The sequence below is a fragment of the Homo sapiens genome, chromosome Y (assembly GCF_000001405.40).
Source record: "Homo sapiens chromosome Y, GRCh38.p14 Primary Assembly".
Classification (NCBI taxonomy): domain Eukaryota; kingdom Metazoa; phylum Chordata; class Mammalia; order Primates; family Hominidae; genus Homo; species Homo sapiens.
In genome coordinates this window covers 20,572,845-20,594,371 of record NC_000024.10, presented here as the reverse complement: position 1 = coordinate 20,594,371, position 21,527 = coordinate 20,572,845, and the positions used below count along the sequence as shown (strand labels likewise).

Genomic DNA, 21,527 nt, shown 5'->3' with positions numbered 1-21,527 from the left:
TCACCTTATAACTTTCAGAACAAAACTTTAAAAGGGAAGATTATGATATAAATTCTTACTAGCATGTATCCAAAAAAAAAAATCGGCCGGGCACGGGAAGGGGAGGGGAGGGAAGGGAATGGGAGGCGCGGTGGCTCATGCCTGTAATGCCAGCATTTTGGGAGGCCGAGGCGGGTGGATCACGAGGTCAGGAGATCGAGACCATCCTGGCTAACAAGGTGAAACCCCGTCTCTACTAAAAACACACAAAAAAATTAGCCGGGCATGGTGGCGGGCGCCTGTAGTCCCAGCTACTGGGGAGGCTGATGCAGGAGAATGGCGTGAACTCGGGACGCGGAGCTTGCAGTGAGCCGAGATTGGGTCACTGCACTGCACTCCAGCCTGGGTAACAGAGCAAGACTCCGACTCAAAAAATAATAAATAAATAAATCGGTACGCACAATGAAATGCAGTAACAACATAAAGTTAGGCCAAAAATATACTGAACATGGCTCTTTTTTTTCAAGACGGAGTCTCGCTCTGTTGTCCAGGCTACAGTGCAGTAGCACGATCTTGGCTCACTGTAAGCTCTACCTCCCGGGTTCATGCCATTCTCCTGCCTCAGCCTCCCGAGTAGCTGGGGGCACCCGCCACCACGCCTGGCTAAGTTTTTGTATTTTTAGTAGAGATGGGTTTCACCGTGTTAGCCAGGATGGTCTCAATCTCCTGACCTCGTGATCCACGCGCCTCGGCCTCCCAAAGTGCTGGGATTACAGGCCTGAGCCACTGCCCCCCGCTACACATGGCTCTTTTTTTTATTACATTACTTGTTGTGGCTCTTCCATTCAGGTAACTGAAACGACCTTTTTTTTTTTTTTCTTTTTTTTGGAGACTGAGTCCCACTCTGTCGCCCAGGCTGGAGTGCAGTGATGAGATCTCGGTTCATTGCAACCTCTGCCTCCCAGGTTTAAGCGATTGTCCTGCCTTAGGCTCCTGAGTAGCTGGGAATACAGGGGTGCACTACCATGCCCCACTAATTTTTGTATTTTTAGTAGAGATGAGGTTTTGCCATGTTGGTCAGGCTGGTCTTGAATGCCTGAACTCAGGTGATCTGCCCCCACAGGCCTCCCACAGTGCTGGGATTACAGGTGTGAGCCACTGCACCTAGGCTGAAACTATCTTTCCATTCAGTACGGTTGCTTCCTCCTATGGCAGTTTAGAGACAGTCTGAGAATGGCTCAGTTTATAGAATTTATTATGAAATTGCTTTTCATTTATACACTGTAATTTACTTGTTCATGAAAGCCAAAACAGTGGATTACAATGAATAACTTTTGAAAACAAAATGGCACCCCAGTATTTCCAATGTTAAGATAATTGGTTGCCACTTATTGTTCGGTTTCTTTAACTCTTAATCTTATACATTCTAAGTTACTACTCAAAACTGCCACACTTTAAAAACTGTATGTTGGACATTTTTTTTTCCTTAATAACCGAGGCACAAAGGATGAAAAGGATTTATAAACTATCAATGTTAGCATAAAATTACATATGACTAGATAAATATGAAAAATATGTCCATGTTTTCTGATTCTAAATGCAGATTTCTGTCTTCAAATTGTATCAGAAACCTTATGAGACCATCTAAGTAACTGAAACATACCAAAAGACTGTAAACAGATTAGGTGGAAGTAGGGCTTATTAGAACCCAGCATGATTATCAGGCAGAAATGTATTCAAAATATCCAATTACTTGACGTTATCACAGTAGGAAAGGCACTCGTTTATTTATTTTAACAGCAAATATTATGGTCTTTTATCCTTAAGTTCCATTACATCAAAACAATAAAGTATTAACATTTAACTTAAGGTAATTCAGTGTCCTCAGCTTTTAAAGAAATAAATACTTTAAAACAATGAAAATAAATCAGTTTGCTTTCAGAAACTACACACTAAATGAATTTCTCTTCTTGGTTGATGATGGCCAAAATCCCAACTGTAGAACCATCCTCAGAGAACTTGTCATGTAAAAACACTTGGTTCAATTTAGATCTGTAATTGAAAAGAACATCAGATCCATAGAAAAATAACTCTTATTACAACATTCTACTGCATATAAAGACTCCCAGTGGTAAACTGTGAAGTAAATCGTTTTGAACTGAGTATTCTGTATATTAGATTTTCTTATTTCCTTTTTGTTATCAGTAAATCTTTATGCTCTTTTGGAATGTTATTGTATATCATATATCAGAACATTTTTGAAGTTTTGCATGTCCTTACTTCCTTTTGTGGTAGTGGTTACAGATCTTATATTCTGAGGGTGGACACAGACAAAATAGATGTAATTCCTTTAAAAATGGGATAAATATGGTCGTAACCAAATTCTGAGTCCATGTAGTCACAGAAGTAAAACTAGAACATCTATAAATCTACAGTGTTCTCTTGTAATAAGCAAAAGAAACTCAAAAGAAACTAAACTTCCTTTAATAGCCATTGTCTTTACATTCCTTCCCGTTACCTTAATGGGCCTAGTTCCAAAGGAAATGGCATAACTCTAAGATACTCCCCCCCACTCCCTGAGAAAAATCTTAGCCATGTCTAGATCCTTATTCTAACATCTGTGTTTGTAGCTTTGTGTTCCACTAGGTAGTCTGGATAGGTTCTCTGAATTTTCCAAAGAGGCCTCCAAGGCCACCAACTGTGGAAATGTTCAGATTTGCCCTTAATCTACAACAAAATATTTATGCTTTTGGTTATTGCAACATGAAGTAAATGCCAATTCTGTTTAATCCCCCAAAAAACCTCTGGCTCAGGGTCCCCAAAGGGAGGTACATGAAGAAAATATTAGAATGTGAAACGAAAATATCTTTGGCCCCCAAAATTACTATGAAAAACTCAAGGTGGAAACTGCTTAAGACAAACCGGCCTCCCATTCTATTCAAAAGTTATCCTTTCGCTCATTGAGTTAGATGCATAGCTGACTGCCTCCTTTAGAAAGGCTAACAAGATGCCCTCCCTTTCCAAACTGAACCAACGTTCTTTTCACATATATTGATTGATGTCTCATGTCTCCCTGAAGATGTAGTAAACCAAGCTGTGCCCCAAACACCTTGGGTACATGTCCTCAGGGCTTCCCGAGGCTGTGTCATGGGTGCGTCCTCAACTTTGGCAAAATCAACTTTGTAAATTAACTGAGACCTGTCTCAGATTTCCTGGGATCACAAGAACAATGCATTTTTCATCTCTTTTCATTTTCTTTTTGGGTATACTTTAAAATTTATATTACATTAGAGTAGTGTTACTAAGTACTACTCAGAAACAATTCCAAAGAAAAAAAAACTAAAAAATTTTGTAAATATAGAGTACTTTATGTTGTAAAAATTTATAAATGCATATATACAATACAATTAAGGACTCAGTTTATTTTCTTCAACTCAAAGTGTAAGTAATAGTTTGGAAATGTGCCAAAATATAAGGTGTAATATCAGATGAATAGAAGGATGGGTGTGATAGATGAAGCAGAGAAAAACTGTAAATTGTACAATATTGTTGGTGAGTATTTGAATGTTTACAAATAAATTTAAAAATCCTTCTACTCCTCTGAACAGTCTGGAAACAATCTTAATAAACATGTTGGTAAAACAAAAGCTGTAGAGAACCCTGATGTAGAACAATGGTTCTCAATGGAGTGTGTGACCATCACCTATGTCTGTCTTAGACTTTCCAAAGTTTAGCCTTTGTAATTTTTTTTTTTTTTTTGAGATGGAGTCTCGCTCTATTGCCCAGGCTGGAGTGCAGTGGTGCAATCTCGGTTCACTGCAACCTCTGTCTCCTGGGTCCAAGTGATTATCCTGCCTCAGCCTCCTGAGTAGCTGGGACTACAGGTGTGCACTACCATGCCTGGCTAATTTTTATATTTTTAGCAGAGATGGGGTTTCACCATGTTGGTTAGGCTGTTCTCGAACTCCTGACCTCATGATCTGCCCGCATCTCCCAAAGTGCTGGGATTACAGGGGTGAGCCACCACGCCCGCTGGACTTTATAATTTTTAAAAGCTCTGGTAAATTGCACAGATTACATCAAGAATGACTGCTTTAGGTATTCTATAATTTCTTCTCAGTACCTAGTTAATCATAACTTTTGGGTGTGTATATACAGGTGGTTCCTGAACAACAATTTTATTATAGGGATATTGACAAAAAAACCTAAGCCCAAATGAAGTCTAAGCTATACCAACAAATTCCATATCCAATAAACACACACACACACACACACACACACTCTCTCTCTCTCTCTCTCTCTCTCCCCCTCTCCCTCTCTCTCTCTCAAGAGAGGGAAGAAAAATCAAAGTGAATTTAATTTCAATATAGTTAACTGAAAAAGAGAGCTGAAGCATTTACTGCTTTGTGAACTGCGCTGCTTTGTTACTAGGAAAAACAATCATTTCCACAAAATAAGCACAAACTAACTCCAAAACAAGAGTCTGGCCAGTACAAACTGATGCTCAACCATGTAATTCTATTACATGTCCTGGCAACAGGCCCTTCATTTTAACAAACCTTTGAAGTATGTTGTAATTTCAGTGCTGCATCAAACTGGTTCAAACAAAATTCTTCTTTTAACATACTAAGCATTTCTCTTAATAGAGGACGTGTTCTCAAAACTATCTCTTTAGACACTCTTACTTAACGTTGATTATGAAGTGCCTACTGCCGAAGCTAAAATTGATTTTTGCAGTAAATACTATCCCAAAGGACTGTAAAGTTTATAGATAATGCATAGATAAAACAAAATACCTGTTAGGTTTATTTACTTACATCATCAATGTCTTCATCATCATCTCCAATATCGTCAAACTGGATTTCATCATCATCTCCAGGACCAAATGTGTCTGTTTCATTGATTTTAGCTAAAGGTAAAATAACAGACATACTGATTATATAACCTGTAGTCCCACCAATTTGGGAGGCCATGGTAGGCAGATCACTTGAGATCAGGAGTTCGAGACCAGCCTAGCCAACATGGTGAAATCTGGTCTCTACTAAAAATAAAAAAATAAAAAATTAACCAGGTATGGTGGCAAATGTCTGTAGTCTCAGAGGGTGCAGAGGGTGAGGCAGGAAAATAGCTTGAACTTGGCAGGCGTAGAATGCAGGGAGCTGAGATGGTGCCACTGCACTCCTGCCTGGGTGACAGAGCAAGACTCTGTTTCAAAAAACAAAGAACGAATGTGCTGTATTGTGCTGTATTTTTCATTTGTTTTTAAAAGGTATTTTTAATTCTCACTTAGCACATATACAAAAGGTACTTTAAGTATGGTAGGCAGACTGATTATGCTAACTCAATAGCCAACCATTTCCATGTAGCCTTCAAAAAGGATTTGAGCACAGGTTAACAACTTATCCTCAAAATACATAAAGTTCTCTTGAAATTACAACAACTAGTTAACCAATTATTTAAACAGACTTATCAAATCAGTGAGAAATACTTGGTTAAATCATGATCATGCTTATCCCCAAGTAATGAAAGCGAAACTTTCAGCACTTCCTGAAATGCCAATAATTTCATCACTTCCAATAACATTTCAGCACTTCCTGAAATGCCAATAATTTCATCAAGATCTTCATGTTTATATAAAAATCTTTTCATAAAATGCAATATGATAAATAATGAAAATAGCTGCCAAGTAAAATACTCAGGCTTTACAACAGTGCATATTCTCTTTGATGGTGTCATGAGGGACTTATTTTAATCTTGTCAAGCTTTCGGCAGTAAGTATGCATTGTGTTTGTCTTTAAGAAAAAGAAAACACAATTGTTTGTTAAAAATAATCCCATAGTTAAAACTTTGCTAAGATGAATACTTTTTTCTATAATAATCAAACATTAGTATTACATTTGTTGCCTCTGCTTAAATGAAAACTGCCAGTCTTGAGAACTGTTTAGAAAAACACTATAAAAAACGTATTTCTTTGACAGATCTTATATACAAATCCAGAGCTTATGAATTTATAAAGTTGTCACTAAAGGAACTTTCATAATTCATAATCTCTTTATTAGAGACTTCTACTTTCAAGTTCATAACGTTTTTATTAGAGATTTCCAGTTATTAATATCTTTTCCAAAGTATCATAAGTAAACTGAAGTATAGGCAAGACTACTTATAACAAATTTTTAAGTATACACTAAAACAGTATGTAAAACAAGAGTTCTACGGAAATACCTTCACCTAAATACCAACAAACATTAATATCAAATAATGAGGAGATAAAATCATTTTGATCTTACCATGTTCTGGAAGCTCGCCATATGCCTTCAGGCTTCTAGCTTCATCTGCATTGTACTTTAAAATTACATCAGCTTTGTTATCCTTAGAAATAAACAAATAACTTTCAAAACGTCTTATACCAAAATATCACCAGTTGTTTCACAAGTTACTTTCAAATTGAACACATCTAAAAAAATCCCACATACTGTTTGTTACAAACTCTCCTGCTTTTCTTTGCCTACCCCAATACCCTCTAGAAAAAAATTCTTGAGTCTGAATAATTAGGAAGTGGTTTATGTTCATTAGTAAACAGTGATTAACAGCTTAGGAAAGATTGTAGAGATTTCACTTTAATAAAAGCACAAAAGGCAAGCACAGTGCTTTTATTTACTATTCCCTTTTAATTAGAAGTCTCTTGGAAAAAATAAAAGACTAATTAAAAAAATTGTAATATAAAACTTTTAAGGTCAAACACTGCAATTCAAAACTAAAAATGGAGTAAAGAATAATGATGTTAAAAAGGTAATACACTTTTCTAGGCCAGGCACGGTGGCTCGCGCCTGTAATCCCAGCACTTTGGGAGGCCAAGGCGGGCGGATCATGAGGTCAGGAGATCGAGACCATACTGGCTAACATGATGAAACCCCATCTCTACTAAAAATACAAAAAATTAGCTGGGCGTGGTGGCAGGCATCTGTAGTCCCAGCTACTCAGGAGGCTGAGGCAGGAGAATGGCATGAACCCAGGAGGCGCAGCTTGCAGTGAGCCGAGATCAAGCCACTGCACTCCAGCCTGGGCAACAGAGCGAAACTCCTTCAAAAAAACAAAAACAACAATAATAAACTTTTCTATGCATCAGTAGTTCTTAGTATAGATTATCTAACAGAATTGTCTATGGAACTTGAAAAATAGCTTGATTTTAAAAATACATACCTACTTCCTTAAGATTGAAAGTAGACCTGCCTGGGGTGTAGTACATGAATGCATATTTTTAAAAGTTCTTCTGGGTGGGTGTTTCTAATGCCAACACTAAGAATCACTTTCCTCAGATGTTCACAGTTCCCCATTTGAAAGTATTTTATCCAACTTGGGGTGAGGAGGGGTTCTGATTGCTTACAATTTACAATATAAGTAAGATGTAAACTAAAGTGATCTGTCACAATGGCAGTATGAAATAGACCAACACTTTTCAAACTGTAATGTGCAAACCAGTTTTTGTTAAAATGATAATTCGAATAATATAATGGACATAAAAATAACATTTTAAAAGCACAGTACAACTTTTTATTTGATATATGAAAAAGAAACAAAGTCAATGTGTAATTAAGTCTTATCAAAATAAATGCTTTCTTGCAGTGATTGCAGGAATGGCAGAATAAGGACTTGCTAAAATTTGTTCCTTCAGAAAAGAAATAAGAACATTGACAAACATGGTCAAAATCCATATATCAGAAATCTGAAAATTAACCAAATGAATGCAATAAACACTAAGGAGCGTTTATTCACGAAAAATAGGTGAACCTTACTAAGAAAAAGCAGTGTGGGCTTTTAAGTTCCCCTATTCCCATTCCTTACCTCAGTTTAATAAAAACCAACACAATAGCAGCTACTGAAAAGCACAGACCAAGTCCGAAGTTCTTTGATAACACCATTCTATAGAGAATTTCCTGGCAGTTCCCGGAAACTTCCATTTTAAGAACTTTTCTTTAACTCACTTGATTCAGAGCTTAATCACTGTGGTTTACCCCACAGGGCTTTTGTAGAAAAAATAATCTGTGGCAATTTTTTAACATGCCTTAAGTGGTAGTAACAGTTGAGACAAAAAATAAACCAAAAAACTCGCAAAAGCTCTGGAATGAGATATCCATAGGAAATCTGTAAAGTCCAACATACTTCTACAAATCTAACAGGCCAAATATACGTTCAGAGTAGTGCACATGATAAAGAAAGACATAGGAAAGCCCTAATATTACCCCTGACTGAACTTGAGATCCTGCACAGCAAGAAATGAAGACTAAGGAAGAGGTGTCAGTTTACCAACATTGGCTGAATGCTCAAAGTATTCCTCTACATGTACAAGATTCCTCTTTAAATGATTAAATTCTTGGTGGTTTTAATGAAATCTTAGTTCAAACATGAACTGCCCACTAAACTAACCAACTATTCAATGGCCAAAGAATTAGTTCAGAAAAGTCACCAAACAAGCAGTATCAACAACAGCCCCGAGAGGCAGCAATCTGATTTCCAGAACTGCTATGTTGTAGTTAAATTGTTCGGTTTAAAAAAAAAAAAAAGATTTAAAAAAGTGGCTCAAACACAGGGAAAAAAAAAATACTATTCCTGAGGAATCCCAGAAGTTGGACTTAGTTTATCTAAGACTTAAAAAGAAATAATGTCTAAAAATATTAAGGAAATTATGAAAATGGTATTTCACTAAACAGAAAAAGTCAATAAAGACACTGAAGTAATTTAAAAAGTAGAAATTCTCAAGATGAAAAGTAAAGTAACTTCAATATGCCACTTATAGTAATGAAAAGAACAATCAGACAAAAGATCAACAGAAGACTTGAACATTACAAACCAACTTAGACTTGACAGATGACTACAGAAAACTTCACCTAATATCAAGAGAATAAAAATATAGACATAGCAGTAGTTTCTCAATGTGGTTAAACAATGGTGATGAATTCCATGAGTAGAAATCAAATGTATTTTACAGACCTACAACATGTAAATAGTATGAAGGTTGGAGATTAAACAGCTACTACTGTCTTTGTTATATACCGCTCACTTTATAGCATGTACTTTACAACATTTTGTACCATTAACTACTTGGTATGTATGCCTTAACTTTACACTACCAAACTATAAAACTTTTAGAGGAGAACAGACTTATTCAGCTGCATCAACTAGACTTGTGGTTTCCCAGATTTGGATTTCAAGAACTTTAAATTTCAAAATATTAAAATAATGTTAAAAATAATATTAGGTAAATGAGTCTCCAGATTATTCAATTTTGCTTTGCCAAATTAGAACACTAATAAAAATTACTACCTTATACACTTTCTCATTTAAAAAAGTTATTAAAATATATATTTAAAAAGGTAAGCAAACAATTGTGCTCCATGAAAAACATCGTAACTATGTATCTTCTAATTTGACTTCAGAGCACTGAAAATTCAGCCTGCACCAATACTATTTAACAGACCGGCATTTGGGAACTACAATGTCTGAAATACCTAGCTGAATGCCTGAAACACCATTGGCCTTTAAATGGATGAGGACAGATGGTCTACAGTACTTGCCCAAGCCTGCAAGAAAATATTTACTGCACATTATATTAACAATGAAAACAAAGAATTAAAAACTTTATGTCTTTCCACAAAAATATATGTACCATTTACTATCAGTGAGAATTATGTCAAATTTGAAAAATACTATAGTCTGAAATACAACTGGCCCTTAATAAATGATGATGGCAGGCAGAATGGTGAGAAAGCAACCTGGGCTGGAATGGGTCAAAGATGCTAGTATAGTTACCTTCCAAACATTAACAACTGCTTAAACACAGACATACCACAACTTTAAATGTTATTTTTACCTGATAGTCCCGTAGACCAACCAATATAATGTCTGATGTATTTATCCAAACCTGTAAGAAATTTACTGCAGATTATTTTAAAAATAAAAACAAATAATAAAAAGAATGTTTAGTGAATCTTCCCACAAGACAGGTATACTATTCACCAAGTGTGAAAAAAAAAATTAATTAGATGCCGGGAGAGGTGTCTCATGCCTATAATCACAGCACTCCGGGAGGCTAAGCCACAGGGATGACCTGAGCACAGGAGCTTGAGACCATCCTAGGCAACGCAGAGAGGCCTAGACTGTACAAACAGTTAAAAAAAAAAAAATTGGGTGTAGTGGCATGTGCCTGCCAACTACTTTAGGAGGCTGAGGCGGGAGGACTGCTTGAGGTGAAGGCTGCAGTGAGTCGTGATTGTGCCACTGTACTCCAGCCTACACAACAGCGTGAGACCCTGCCTCAAAAAATAAAAATAAATTAGAAAAAAACCCTGAAATATATATATCTGTAGTATAGTTGTATGTAGTACATAGTTAAGGTATGGCATGAAAAAACTATAGTACCCAGTTGAGTTTCTTAAAATTTTCTTATTTAGAATGTTAAAAAATATACAGCAATTTTATTTCAATTACTCAAGAGTTTAAAATGTCAGATGATCCTTTGTCTCAGAAATTGAGAGACATATAATTGTCCCAAATACAGAAGATGTATCTACACAAAATGACTATAAAGCACCCAATCTACATAAATACAGCACCTGTTCTTGTCTTAATGTTTGTGTTCCTCAAAAGATTTATATTGAAATTTGGATCCCCAAGGTGATGGTACTAGGAGGTTGGGCCTTTGGGAGGTGATTACGTGATGACAGCTGATCGCTCATGAATGGGATTTTTGCTTTTAAAGAAGAGGCCCAAGGCAGCTTATTCATCCCTTCCACTATGTGTGGACTAAGCCAGAAGGCACCACATAATAATCAGGAAATGGGTCCTCACCAAATATTAAATAGATTTCTCTTTCTCCAAAACTATGAGAAATAAAATTTCTGCTTTTTATAATCTACCCAGTCAGTGACAGCCCAAATGGACTAAGAGAATCCCTAAAATGCCACTAATTTGGAAAAGAAAGAATGTTAACATACCAGAAAGATTTTTTTTTTTTTCTTTTTGAGATAGAGATTCGCTCTATCACCCAGACTGGAGAGCATTAGCACAATTTTTAGCTCATGGGAACCTTGAACTCCTGGCTCAGCCTCCTCAGTAGCTGGGACTACAGGTGTATGCTGGCTAATACTTCCACAGAGCTCAGCCAAAAATAAGTTTTTATTATTTTAATTAAAAATCTGAGTAGTAGAGACTTTTAATCAGTGTAATTTATAAAACTACCTGATGTGGTATTACTAACAAATAGAGTTTCTAACATATTCCATATTCCAATTTTCCTAGTACCACCTAAAACTATTTCCCCCAATCCAAAACCTAACAAAGGGATATGCACCGATCAATCTCTTTTAAGCTAAAGTAATTCCCAGATTTTTCATTCTTTCACAGCATTAACATCTGAGTCAAGACCATTTGTGTTATATATTAGATTTGTCTGGTTTCTTCAATACTAATATCAGAGTAAACATTTCTGGTAGGAATACAACAGAAGTTAAACAAACAAATTATTCTTTAAAAGTAAATCTAAAAGTTATCAAAGACTTTTTCTATTTATTCACATTGTCACATGAATCATTGCTGTATAAATTATTTTGGGAACTCACAAAAATAAATTGCTTGGACCATGTATTTAAAGCAGAGACATTTTTTGCGGCAAATTTTTATTGAAAAGTAACCTACACACCTACCTTTTTTCTCAATTTCCCTCTGATATGGCATAACCTCTTTACACCATCAAAACACAATGCTTCCAATCGTCCATTTCCCAACATTTTGATTACCTGAGCATACTCTGAGGAGAGGAGATAAAAAAAAAGGTTGAGATCTTGGTCCACATTTGTTAAAATGTAATGACTGAAATTTAGCTATTGGGCCAGGCATGGTGGCTCATGCCTGTAATTCTAGCAATTTGGGAGGCCAAGGCAGGTGAATTGCCTGAGGTCAGGAGTTTGAGACCAGCCTGCCCAGAATGGTGAAACCTTGTCTCTTCTAAAGATAGAAAAATTAGCTGGGTGTGGTGCCCGATGCCTGTAATCCCAGCTACTCAGGAGGCTGAGGCAGGAGAATGGCTTGAACTCGGGAGGCAGAGGTTGCAGGGAGCTGAGATAGCACCACTGCACGCCACCCTGGATGTCAAGATCAAAACTCAACAACAACAACAATAACAACAACAAAAAAAGAAATTTACCTGTTAATAAAAGCTTCATTTACTGCTAAATTAGATCAAACTACTTACAAAGAAAAACAGGAAAAAACAAATAGCAAAAAGCTTGAGTAATTTATTCAGAGTCATATTTCAAAATGACACATATTCTAACTTTATTTAGGGAAACCAGAGAATTCTTTATCTGTCAACTTCTTCACCTCTTCCAGCTATGCTCATATGCTTTAACACGTTTATATTTAGAATAAATAAAAGACTAAGTCAAGTAACTTGTTCAGGGTTACAAATGCCATTTCCATGACAAGCTATTTCTGTTACTAGAGGCATTTTAATTACCCACTCATTTTGATTAAGTCAACTGTTGTTTTCACGACTGTACACTCTACTTTTGAACATCACGGTGGCACATTTCAAAATATACACTATAATGCTACATCAGTCTCTCACACATGAGGCCTAACTCTATCTTCACTATCCCTAAACTCAGAAATGACAAAGACAAATAATAGCTTAACCATTAAAAATTCCTGTTTACTTTAGAATATCTCGGTGATTATTCTAAAGTTCTTAGAAAATAAGAGTGAAAGGCCAGGCATGGTTACTCACGCCTATAATCCCACCACTTTGGGAGGCCGAGGCGGGTGCATTACCTGAGGTCAGGAGTTCGAGACCAGCCTGGCCAACATGGTGAAACCCCATCTCTACTAAAAATACAAAAATTAGCCGGGCATGGTGTCACACACCTCTAATCCCAGCTACTGGGGAGGCTGAGGCAGGAGAACTGCTTGAGTCCAGGAGACGGACATTGCCCTGAGCCGAGATCATGCCACTGCACTCCAACCTGGCCAACAAAGCCAGACTCCGCCTCAAAAAAAACAAACAAAAAAAAGCTACATTGAGGGGTTATATATGTGGCAACTGATCCATTTTACAAAAATCCAGTGAGCTCAGCTTATCATTAAGCACTTTTGAAACATGGAGAAAAATAAAAACAAAATGAGAATGAAAATTAAAAAACTGGTCCTGAAAGTAAAGTCAACATATATTAGAAGTGAAAAAGATGAAGGCTAAATAAACGTCTTTTGCCAGAAAATATGTTTCATATAATTAAAAGATGTTGATTTTTTAGTGGCTTCTGTTTAGAACATAAATGACAACCAAAAATTCTATAGAAACATACCTAGCTGTTCTTATAAATTATTAAACAATAAATGTATTCATGGTGAAAATAATTAAACGTGAAGAAATTTGAATATAGATTACCTATGAGGTTAGCACTCTTCAGGAAAACTTGCCTGTGATGGAACTATTACATATCTAAATTGTAAGTTAAATTAATCTACATAGTCACATGCGGTTAGTGGTTACCTATTTGTAACAGCATGGTATAAAGCAGATAACAGTATTACATTAAAGTTAAATATGTTGTTTGTAGTTAGTAAAGGAGAAGTGCTTCATCTTGGGAGACATATGCTGAAGTATTTAGCGCTAAAGTCTGTAAATTCATGTTACTAGTTATCTGTATAAAAATTCAAAATAGTTAGAAAAACGTGTATACATGCAGATACTCAGAGATAGAAATAAAGTAAAAGATGTAAAAGGTTAAAAATTGGTGAATCTAGGTGAAGAATACATGCAACTTTTTTGTGTACTAATATCACAAATTTTTCTTAAGTTCATCACTTAAAGAAAAAAAAGAAGAAAAAAAGCAAGTGGCCCAATAAATTTACTTTATTTTTTTTTTGTATGTTAGTCTGTACATCGTTTATCAATTCAAGGGGTTAGTCAATTATTAGAATTGTATTACATTTTATGATTATGTGCTAGCTGCATTGAAGAACTTGTGGTTCAAAAAGGTTTTGAGGTTTTATCCTCATAAATAACCATGGTCTAATAGTGTACAACATTACTCATTACCAATGTATGGAATATTTAATGATCACAGTCTATGCTTAATTTGCTCTGAACTTTTGTATTTTTTTGAGACAGGGTCTTGCTCTGTCACCCAGGCTGAATACAGTGGCACCCTCACAGTTCCCTGTAGATTAGACCTCCTGGGTTCAAATTATCCTCTCCCCTCATCCTCCAGAGAACTTGGGACTCCAGTTGTGTAACACCATGCCCCATTAATTTTTTTTTTTTTTTTTGTAGAGACACGGTTGTACCCTGTTGCCCAGGCTAGTGTCAAACTCGTAGCTTCAAGCAATCCACCCACCTCGCTTTCCAAAGGGCTGGGATTGCAGGCATCAGCTAGATTGTGTTCTTCCACACAAAATACTGAACGTATATTTACAAAAATGCTTCCATCGAATCCGCTATCCAGACTTGGTATATCCAAGGAATCATTATTTAATGAACAAGTACAGGAGAAATGTAGATGATGAGAAATGAGGAAAAGAGAAATGGAAACACAGGGACAACGGCTCAGGATAATGATTAAGATTCCTTTAGGAGAAAGACTGAAATTTATATTAACAGCAACAACAAAACATATTAATGAAAGAAGCCTAAGTTGAAAAGTCTTACCTTGTCCATCCTCTTTAAACACCAACTCTCTTTTTTCAGATTCATTCTCATTTTTACCCCTGCGCCTGTTTTTACCTCCTTTACCTAATTAATTAAAAGAGTAGATAAAAAATTAATGTAAAAATCTACATAATATCATATAAACTAAACTATAAAACAAAATAAGGCTTTTGAAGTGTGTTTTTGAAACCACTTGCAGGAAAATTAAAAATATATCATTTAAACACATAATAAATGTGTTTAAATTTATTTACATTACAACATTAATATTACCTCATTAACAGGACCTGTCAAAGGTTCTCTTTAAGTCTTTTACCCGATATATATCAATACTATCCTTCTTGGACATTTGTTTGGATACTTCTGAAATAAGAATACATCTTATATGAAACTATATAATAGAAACATTTTATCACCCAAAGATAACTATTATGAATATTTTGTTCACGCTTTCCAAATAAAAACAGGACTTCATTCATTTTCTTCTACAGCATATTTTAACTACACTAAATAATTTGTCCTGAATATTCATTTTCATTTCAATAACTGCAGATCTGGACCAACATTTTAATGGTTAAAGTATACTTAATAATTTAATTTCTTCCAATGTTTTAATTTTATTATATAATGCTGCATTGAATATTATTCTACAAACAAATTTCACAAGATAAATGAATAGAAATATAATTTCTAGTTTAAAGTTTACATACACACTTCCTTAGACTTTTGATAACTGTTTCAACTGCCATCATGTTTCACTCTATTTTTAAGTTTTTGCTTATTACTAAACACATCCAGAGTATTTCCTTGTGATATTTTCTATTGAATTATCAAGGGACTGGGGTACTTCTCCATAACATTGTATCCCCATTAGAGAACGTAAACCAAAGTAGCGGCCGTTTCCAAAAGGAGGGAGAAAGGCTACAAATTACAGTAATATTAAGGGATCGATTGAAGAATTTGAATAAAAATGTTAACACTGCAAATAGAATAAAACATATACCTGGCCACCATAAAGCCAGACATCTAACTTCTTGAATTCACCCACTACCTCTGGGGCAGTCTCACATTGTTCTGTGCCACTATAGAAGACAATTGGGCTTCCAGAACTCTGTGATTTATCCAGATTCTGATGCATTTTAGGGCATGCCAAAACTAAATTTCTACAAAGGAAAACACATTCTATATTTCGAGCAATTAATCGTGCCTGAACTTAGCTGCGTCAGGACAAAGATCATACCTGCTTTCCTTACTGGGTTTTACAAAAGTTTGGCAGCTTTTCAAATGACTAAATGATGATTAGCTCATAAATTTCCAAAAGAATGACAACTTTAGCAATCTCAAAGGTGGGGAGCACCTTACTCTAGCTCTTCACAAGTATAGGCCAAAGGATGCCCTTTTCCTGATGTGAGGATGGGTTTCTAAGATTTTTGTAGAATACCAGCTTAATGCATGCAAAGAAAAAGTAATTCCACATATGGCCCATGCTCATTTACATGTTTATTTGGATAAACCTCACCACGACAATACTGACAGGCATCTGGATTTTCAAACGAAAAAAACAACAACAAAAAAGACACAGAAAACCAAATGAGCAAGTTTTATTTCTACATTAGTAAGTCTCATCTCATAATATTTAGGGGTCTTCAAAAGTATCCCTCAAGTAAGTAGCCCAGAAGATAACACTAATTTTACACAACAATAAAAACATTCAATTCAGGATGGGTATTATCTTAAGAAAAATAAATTTGGGAAGGGTAACAGAGGACTTTAATGAATCTAGGTTATAATTCCTAGAGGTATGGATTTCTAGGAGTTCACTGTATTACTATACTTCTTTTTTTTTTTTTTTTTTTTTTTTGAGACGTAGTCTTGCTCAGTCGCCTAGGCTGGACGTAGTCTTGCTCAGTCGCCTAGGCTGGAGTGCAGTGGCGCGGTCTGGGCTCACTGCAAGCTCCGCCTCCCGGGTTCACGCCATTCTCCTGCCTCAGCCTCCCCACGGCCGGCTAATTTTTTTTGTATTTTTAGTAGAGAGGGGGTTTCACCATGTTAGCCTGGATGGTCACGATCTCCTGACCCCGTGATCCACCCGCCTTGGCCTCCAAGGTGCTGGGATTACACGCGTGAGCCACCGCGCCCGGCCACTATACTTCTTTTGTGTGCCTTCTGAGGCACATATGATAAAAAAAAAATTGTTTTCAATTTACCAGGATTAACCAAACCCTGATCATTCCCCTTCTATTGTGATACCATGTAACAGAATCCACTTTAAATTATATTTTAGAGGAATGAGGCTAGGCATGATCATACAAAAATTAAAGTCGTTTAATATTTTATCTCGTTTCCTTTCTAAGATCAAAAAATCCACACTTCCTCTTTAAACAAATCCGACGTGTTTTGGAGATACTCTCTTTATTGAGAACATTTTTAGGCATCACTCAGTTTAAAAGTTCTACCCTACAAGAATAAAGGAAGCCTTACTATTTAAGGATAGAGTCAGGTACAGGGATAATAACATCAGCAAAGATTTAATGGACATTTTGCAAAGGGAGATACTCTGATCTTTAGAGCTGATGGCTTAGAGAACTGGGAATCTCATCACTAGAAATAAAGGTGAGAACAAGATACCTACTGAAGTTGTTCAGTACCATCTGAGAAAATGTTAGTGAAAAAGCATAAGCCTTTGCTAACTCTTTCTAATTAGACTTCTCCCAGAATACACTTTATCCTCCAATAATTTTGCAGTAAAAAATAAAATAAAATAAAATAAAACCTTATTATACACACAACCCGTTAGTGGGTTTTCGGGAGAGCAAAGAGTAATGCCCAGGAAAGACTGCACTGTACTGTCACCAAGTACCTCAAGAGCTGTGTGTCGTGACAGCTAAAAAGAGAAAATGAAACAGATTCCATGCTGCCAACAGGCAAGTAAAAAGAAGACAAATTGGTCTGGGTCCCAGGAAGGAATAATCTAAACAGAGTTTTTGTGGACTATAAAACATGGTCCCCTCCTGTGGAAAATAATATTTTGTTTCCACCTACAGTTTTCTTCAAGCAATTACAAGGGCACTAAAAGTGAGAGATTACCTCAGGTGTATAAAAACGAGAATTTCTTTCAGAAATGACTGAGAAAGGGTTCTACCGAGGTTAGACCTCCTACTTTAGAAGCTGTGAGTAAACTTATTTTCAAGTCTAAGTTTCGTGTGAAAGTTTAGCCTCAGAATGAAGGGAACGTTGATATCTTTACTCCCACAATATTTATCGGATACGGAAGTTGAAAACCTGCCTAAATAGGTAACAAATCTTCTGCAAAAGAATGTTACACTCTATAAAGGGATGGGGTAGAGTAAAACGCCAGAAATGAACCTAAACATGCTTCAAGGCTTCCCCACTGTTTAACAAGGAAAAGGGAGTATCCTTAGCAATACTTTTAACTGTCCAGATAGGTAAGTCTTCAAAGTTAAGAACCGCTTCCAGGAAAGTAGCAGGGAAGTGTTTGCATGTGCCTATTCTGGAAAGCCAGGCCGTCCGGTTAAGGTCCCTCAACCGTCCCTACCTATACGTTTTCCGTCTGGCGTGAAATCAGCAGCAAAAGCCCGCTATCTTCCGAAGGAGGCCCCACAAAAATGGCGTCTGTCCCACCCCAATGTGACCAAATAGGGCATTCCCAGCTCCTTTCCCGAACACAGTGCTGGGGTCGCAGTGGCCAGTACCGCCGTTAGAACAGTCACTGCGGCCTGGAACAGGCGTCGGGGTTACTGGCAGAGCAAGCCGAGGTATAGTCCCAGAGGCTTACAGCAGTACCTTTATTCTTGGGCATGGCGGTGATGACAGCCTCGTGAGACCTCTTCCGACTCCTTTCTGGCGGTTACTACTCTAAGAGCCGACTGAACTAAGATGCAGCAGGTGGGTGCGCAGAAGAGGCTGGCTACAGAGCTCTCTAATAAACTGCTGACGCGCACTCTCTGGCGTCACCAAAAGGCGACGCAGCTGATTACGATGCTTTTCCCCGCCTCTCTTCGGCTGAGGCACGGCCAAATGACTGACACCTAGTAGACTCCATCAGGATACCGGAGAGTTTGCTGCAGGATGAATAAACAGGAAGCGGGGCGGGACTCAGCATGGAGAAGGTGGAGTCAAGGATGAAATGGGCGGGGCCCTGGAGTATTCTCCTTTGCTAAAAAACGGTCTTCCAGTTTCAGAAGTTCGTGGGTCATTTAACTGTAAACGCCTAAATTTTAAGAGAGCCCTTACTCTTATACAGTGAATTTGGAGGACTGGCTTAGGACAAGGCCCTCTATGTTCAGAATGTTTATCACTTTTCTCTCTTTTTTTTTTTTTTTTTTGACAACGAAGTTTCGCTCTTGTTGCCCATGCTGGAGTGCAGGGGCGCGATCTGCCCGTCTAATTTTTGTATTTTTAGTAGAGATGGGGTTTCACCATGTTGGCCAGGCTCTCAAACCCCTGACCTAGTGATCCTCCCGCCTCTGCCGCCCAAATTCCTGGGATTGCAGTAGTGAGCCACCGCGCCCGGCCTATTTTTTTCAGTCTTATCTTCTCTACCTCACCACCTCACAGTAAAGCATGTAAGTACAGAGGCCGCATCTGTTGCTTACAATTGCTAGCACCCAGCGGAATACTGACAAAAAGTAGACAGTAAATATATACAGGAAATGGAAAGTAAATATACATAGGAAGGAGTGAGACTAAGCATCTGAATCTTATAATAAATCATGGCTTAACCGAATGTCTCAAATGGACTGGCTGTGGAGGTCAAATTATTTCAAGACAAATTCCATTTGATTATGGTATACAATCATTTAATTTACTGGATTTGTTGTGTGTGTACTATTATGTTTAGAATCTTAGCATCTGTGTTAAGATATATTGGCTTGTATCGTGTGATGACTTTGACTTTAGGATCAATATAATCCCGGCTTCACAGAATGAACTGTGTAGTGTCCCTTTTTCTTCTGTGTTTTTGGACACATTCGAGGATTGATGTAAATTTTTTAAATGGTCCTAGGCCTTAGTTTGGATTATGAATTCGTGCTGTATTTATTCCCAAGTCAGTTCTGGTAGTTTGTATGTACCAGAAATTTGTTCATTTATTCTAAATTATAAAACTTGTTGGGCGTATAATTGGCCATCATATACAAAGTATAGTATCTTCCTAATCCTTTTTTTTCCCTTTCTGCAAGGTAAATAGTATGTATGTATCAGGACTTTGTTCATTTATTCTAAATTATCTTACTTGTTGGGCATATAATTGGCCATCATATACATAGTGTAGTATCCTCCTAATCCTTTTTTTTTCTTTCTTTTTTTCTGCAAGGTAAGTGGTAGTACCCTGATCATCACTACTGGTTTTAAGGAATTTAAGTCTTCATGGTTTTGTTTTTAAAAGCCTAGTGATGAAGCCATAACATTAAAAATAAAATTTTCTCTGAACCCAGAAGTCCTCTCCACAAAGACAGTAGAGAATGAAATCAGTTTTACTGTTAAAAATATGAAATATGAATTTAATGTACATTGTAGAAAATCAACCAAGAGATTACAAAGTCAAAAACAAATCTCGCCTTTTATATAGCTAAGCATCAAGGTAGTCTTCAAGATAGACAAATTTTCTTAAAAGAAATTACTGGTTGATCAGTAGTCTTTAATAAAGAAAATTTAACGGCACCATTTGTCACATACCCTTAGTTTACAATGGTAACAGGGGACCACATGTTATATAGCTAATTGTCTTTAATCAGAAGAGAAACTGACTTCTCATATTTTTAATCTCAAGAGGTTGTTTTGCAGTTCAGAGAAAAGCACCTACTGAGGTTAAGTTCTTACCTTTTACTGAAACTGGAAACAGAGGGGCACCTTCTCTCTTTATGTTTACGTTTCAAAGAGATAGTTCCTAGGTCCATTAGATAAATACTGCTGTGTTGTTGATATGCTTTGGCTTTGTGTCTCCATCCAAATCTCATCTGGAATTATAATCCCCATGTGTTAAGGGAGGGACCTGATGCAAAGCTATTGGATTATGATGTCAGTTACCCCCATGCTGTTCTGATGATAGTGAGGGAGTTCTCACAACAGCTGATGGTTTTAAAAATGTTCTGCAGTTTCACTCTCTCAGCTTCCTGCCTCCATATAAGATGTGTCTTTCTTCCCCTTCACCTTCTACAGTGATTTTAAGTTTCCTGAATCCTCCCCAACCATGCAGAACTGTGAGTCAATTAAACATCCTTTCTTAATGAATTACCGAGTCTCAGGTTGTATTTTTGGAGTAGTGTGATAACAGACTAATACAGAGAATTGGTACCAGGAATGGGGTATTGTGGAAAACCTGAAAATGTGGAATCAACTTTGGAACTGGGTAATGGGGGGAGGTTGGAACAGTTTGAAGGGCCTAGAAGAAGACAGGATTATGTGGGAAATTTTGGCACTTTCTAAAGACTTGAATTTTTTAACCAAAATACTGGTAGTGACATGGAGAATGAAGTCTAGGCTGAGATGGTATCAGATGGAAATGAGGAACTTCTTGGGAACTGGAGTAAAGGAAACACATGCTGTGCTTTAGCACAGCAAATGGTGGTAGTTTGCTCCTGCCCTATGGAACTTTGAATTTGAGAGATATGATTTGAAATTGGAACTTATGTTTAGAAGGGAAACAGACCATAAATGTTAGGAAAATTTGCAGCCTGACCATGTGATAGAAAAGACGAAAAAACCCAGCATTTTCTGGAGAGAAATTAAAGCTGACTGCAGAAATTCGTATAACTAATGAGGAGCTTAATGTTAATAGCTATGACAATGGGGAAAATTACTCTAGGGCATGTCAGAGATCTTCAAG

At 36.9% G+C, this 21,527-nt stretch overlaps 1 protein-coding gene and 1 long non-coding RNA gene across 15 annotated transcripts in view; one reads left to right on the top strand and one right to left on the bottom strand.

The window, feature by feature from the left end:
• Positions 1–1,217: 1,217 nt before the first annotated feature.
• EIF1AY (eukaryotic translation initiation factor 1A Y-linked) lies at positions 1,218–18,596 on the bottom strand. 2 transcript variants are annotated; one of them, NM_004681.4, is made up of 7 exons: positions 18,485–18,596; positions 14,681–14,764; positions 11,679–11,782; positions 9,848–9,898; positions 6,267–6,348; positions 4,797–4,888; positions 1,218–2,031 (listed from the first exon to the last, which is right to left on the bottom strand). In NM_004681.4, the coding sequence occupies exons 1-7, from the start codon at positions 18,498–18,500 to the stop codon at positions 2,026–2,028; spliced, it is 435 nt and encodes a 144-aa protein (NP_004672.2). In that variant the 5' UTR covers positions 18,501–18,596; the 3' UTR covers positions 1,218–2,025. The 2 variants fall into 2 exon arrangements, with proteins under 2 accessions (NP_004672.2, NP_001265541.1); NM_001278612.2 differs by lacking the exon at positions 9,848–9,898.
• A 260-nt stretch (positions 18,597–18,856) lies between these two features.
• TTTY10 (testis expressed transcript, Y-linked 10) overlaps positions 18,857–21,527 on the top strand; it is a 110,070-nt gene continuing 107,399 nt past the window's right edge. For all 13 annotated transcript variants that reach the window (NR_197936.1, NR_197939.1, NR_197940.1 and 10 more), the window contains exon 1: positions 18,857–19,266. This is a non-coding gene — a long non-coding RNA (testis expressed transcript, Y-linked 10). The remainder of the gene's footprint in view (positions 19,267–21,527) is intronic.

Coding starts and splice junctions, on each gene's coding strand:
- EIF1AY (NM_004681.4), bottom strand. Junction 9,899..11,678: donor GAGGGAAATTGAGAAAAAAG/GTAGGTGTGTAG, acceptor AATTTCTTACAG/GTTTGGATAAATACATCAGA. Junction 4,889..6,266: donor TGGCGAGCTTCCAGAACATG/GTAAGATCAAAA, acceptor TTTTACCTTTAG/CTAAAATCAATGAAACAGAC.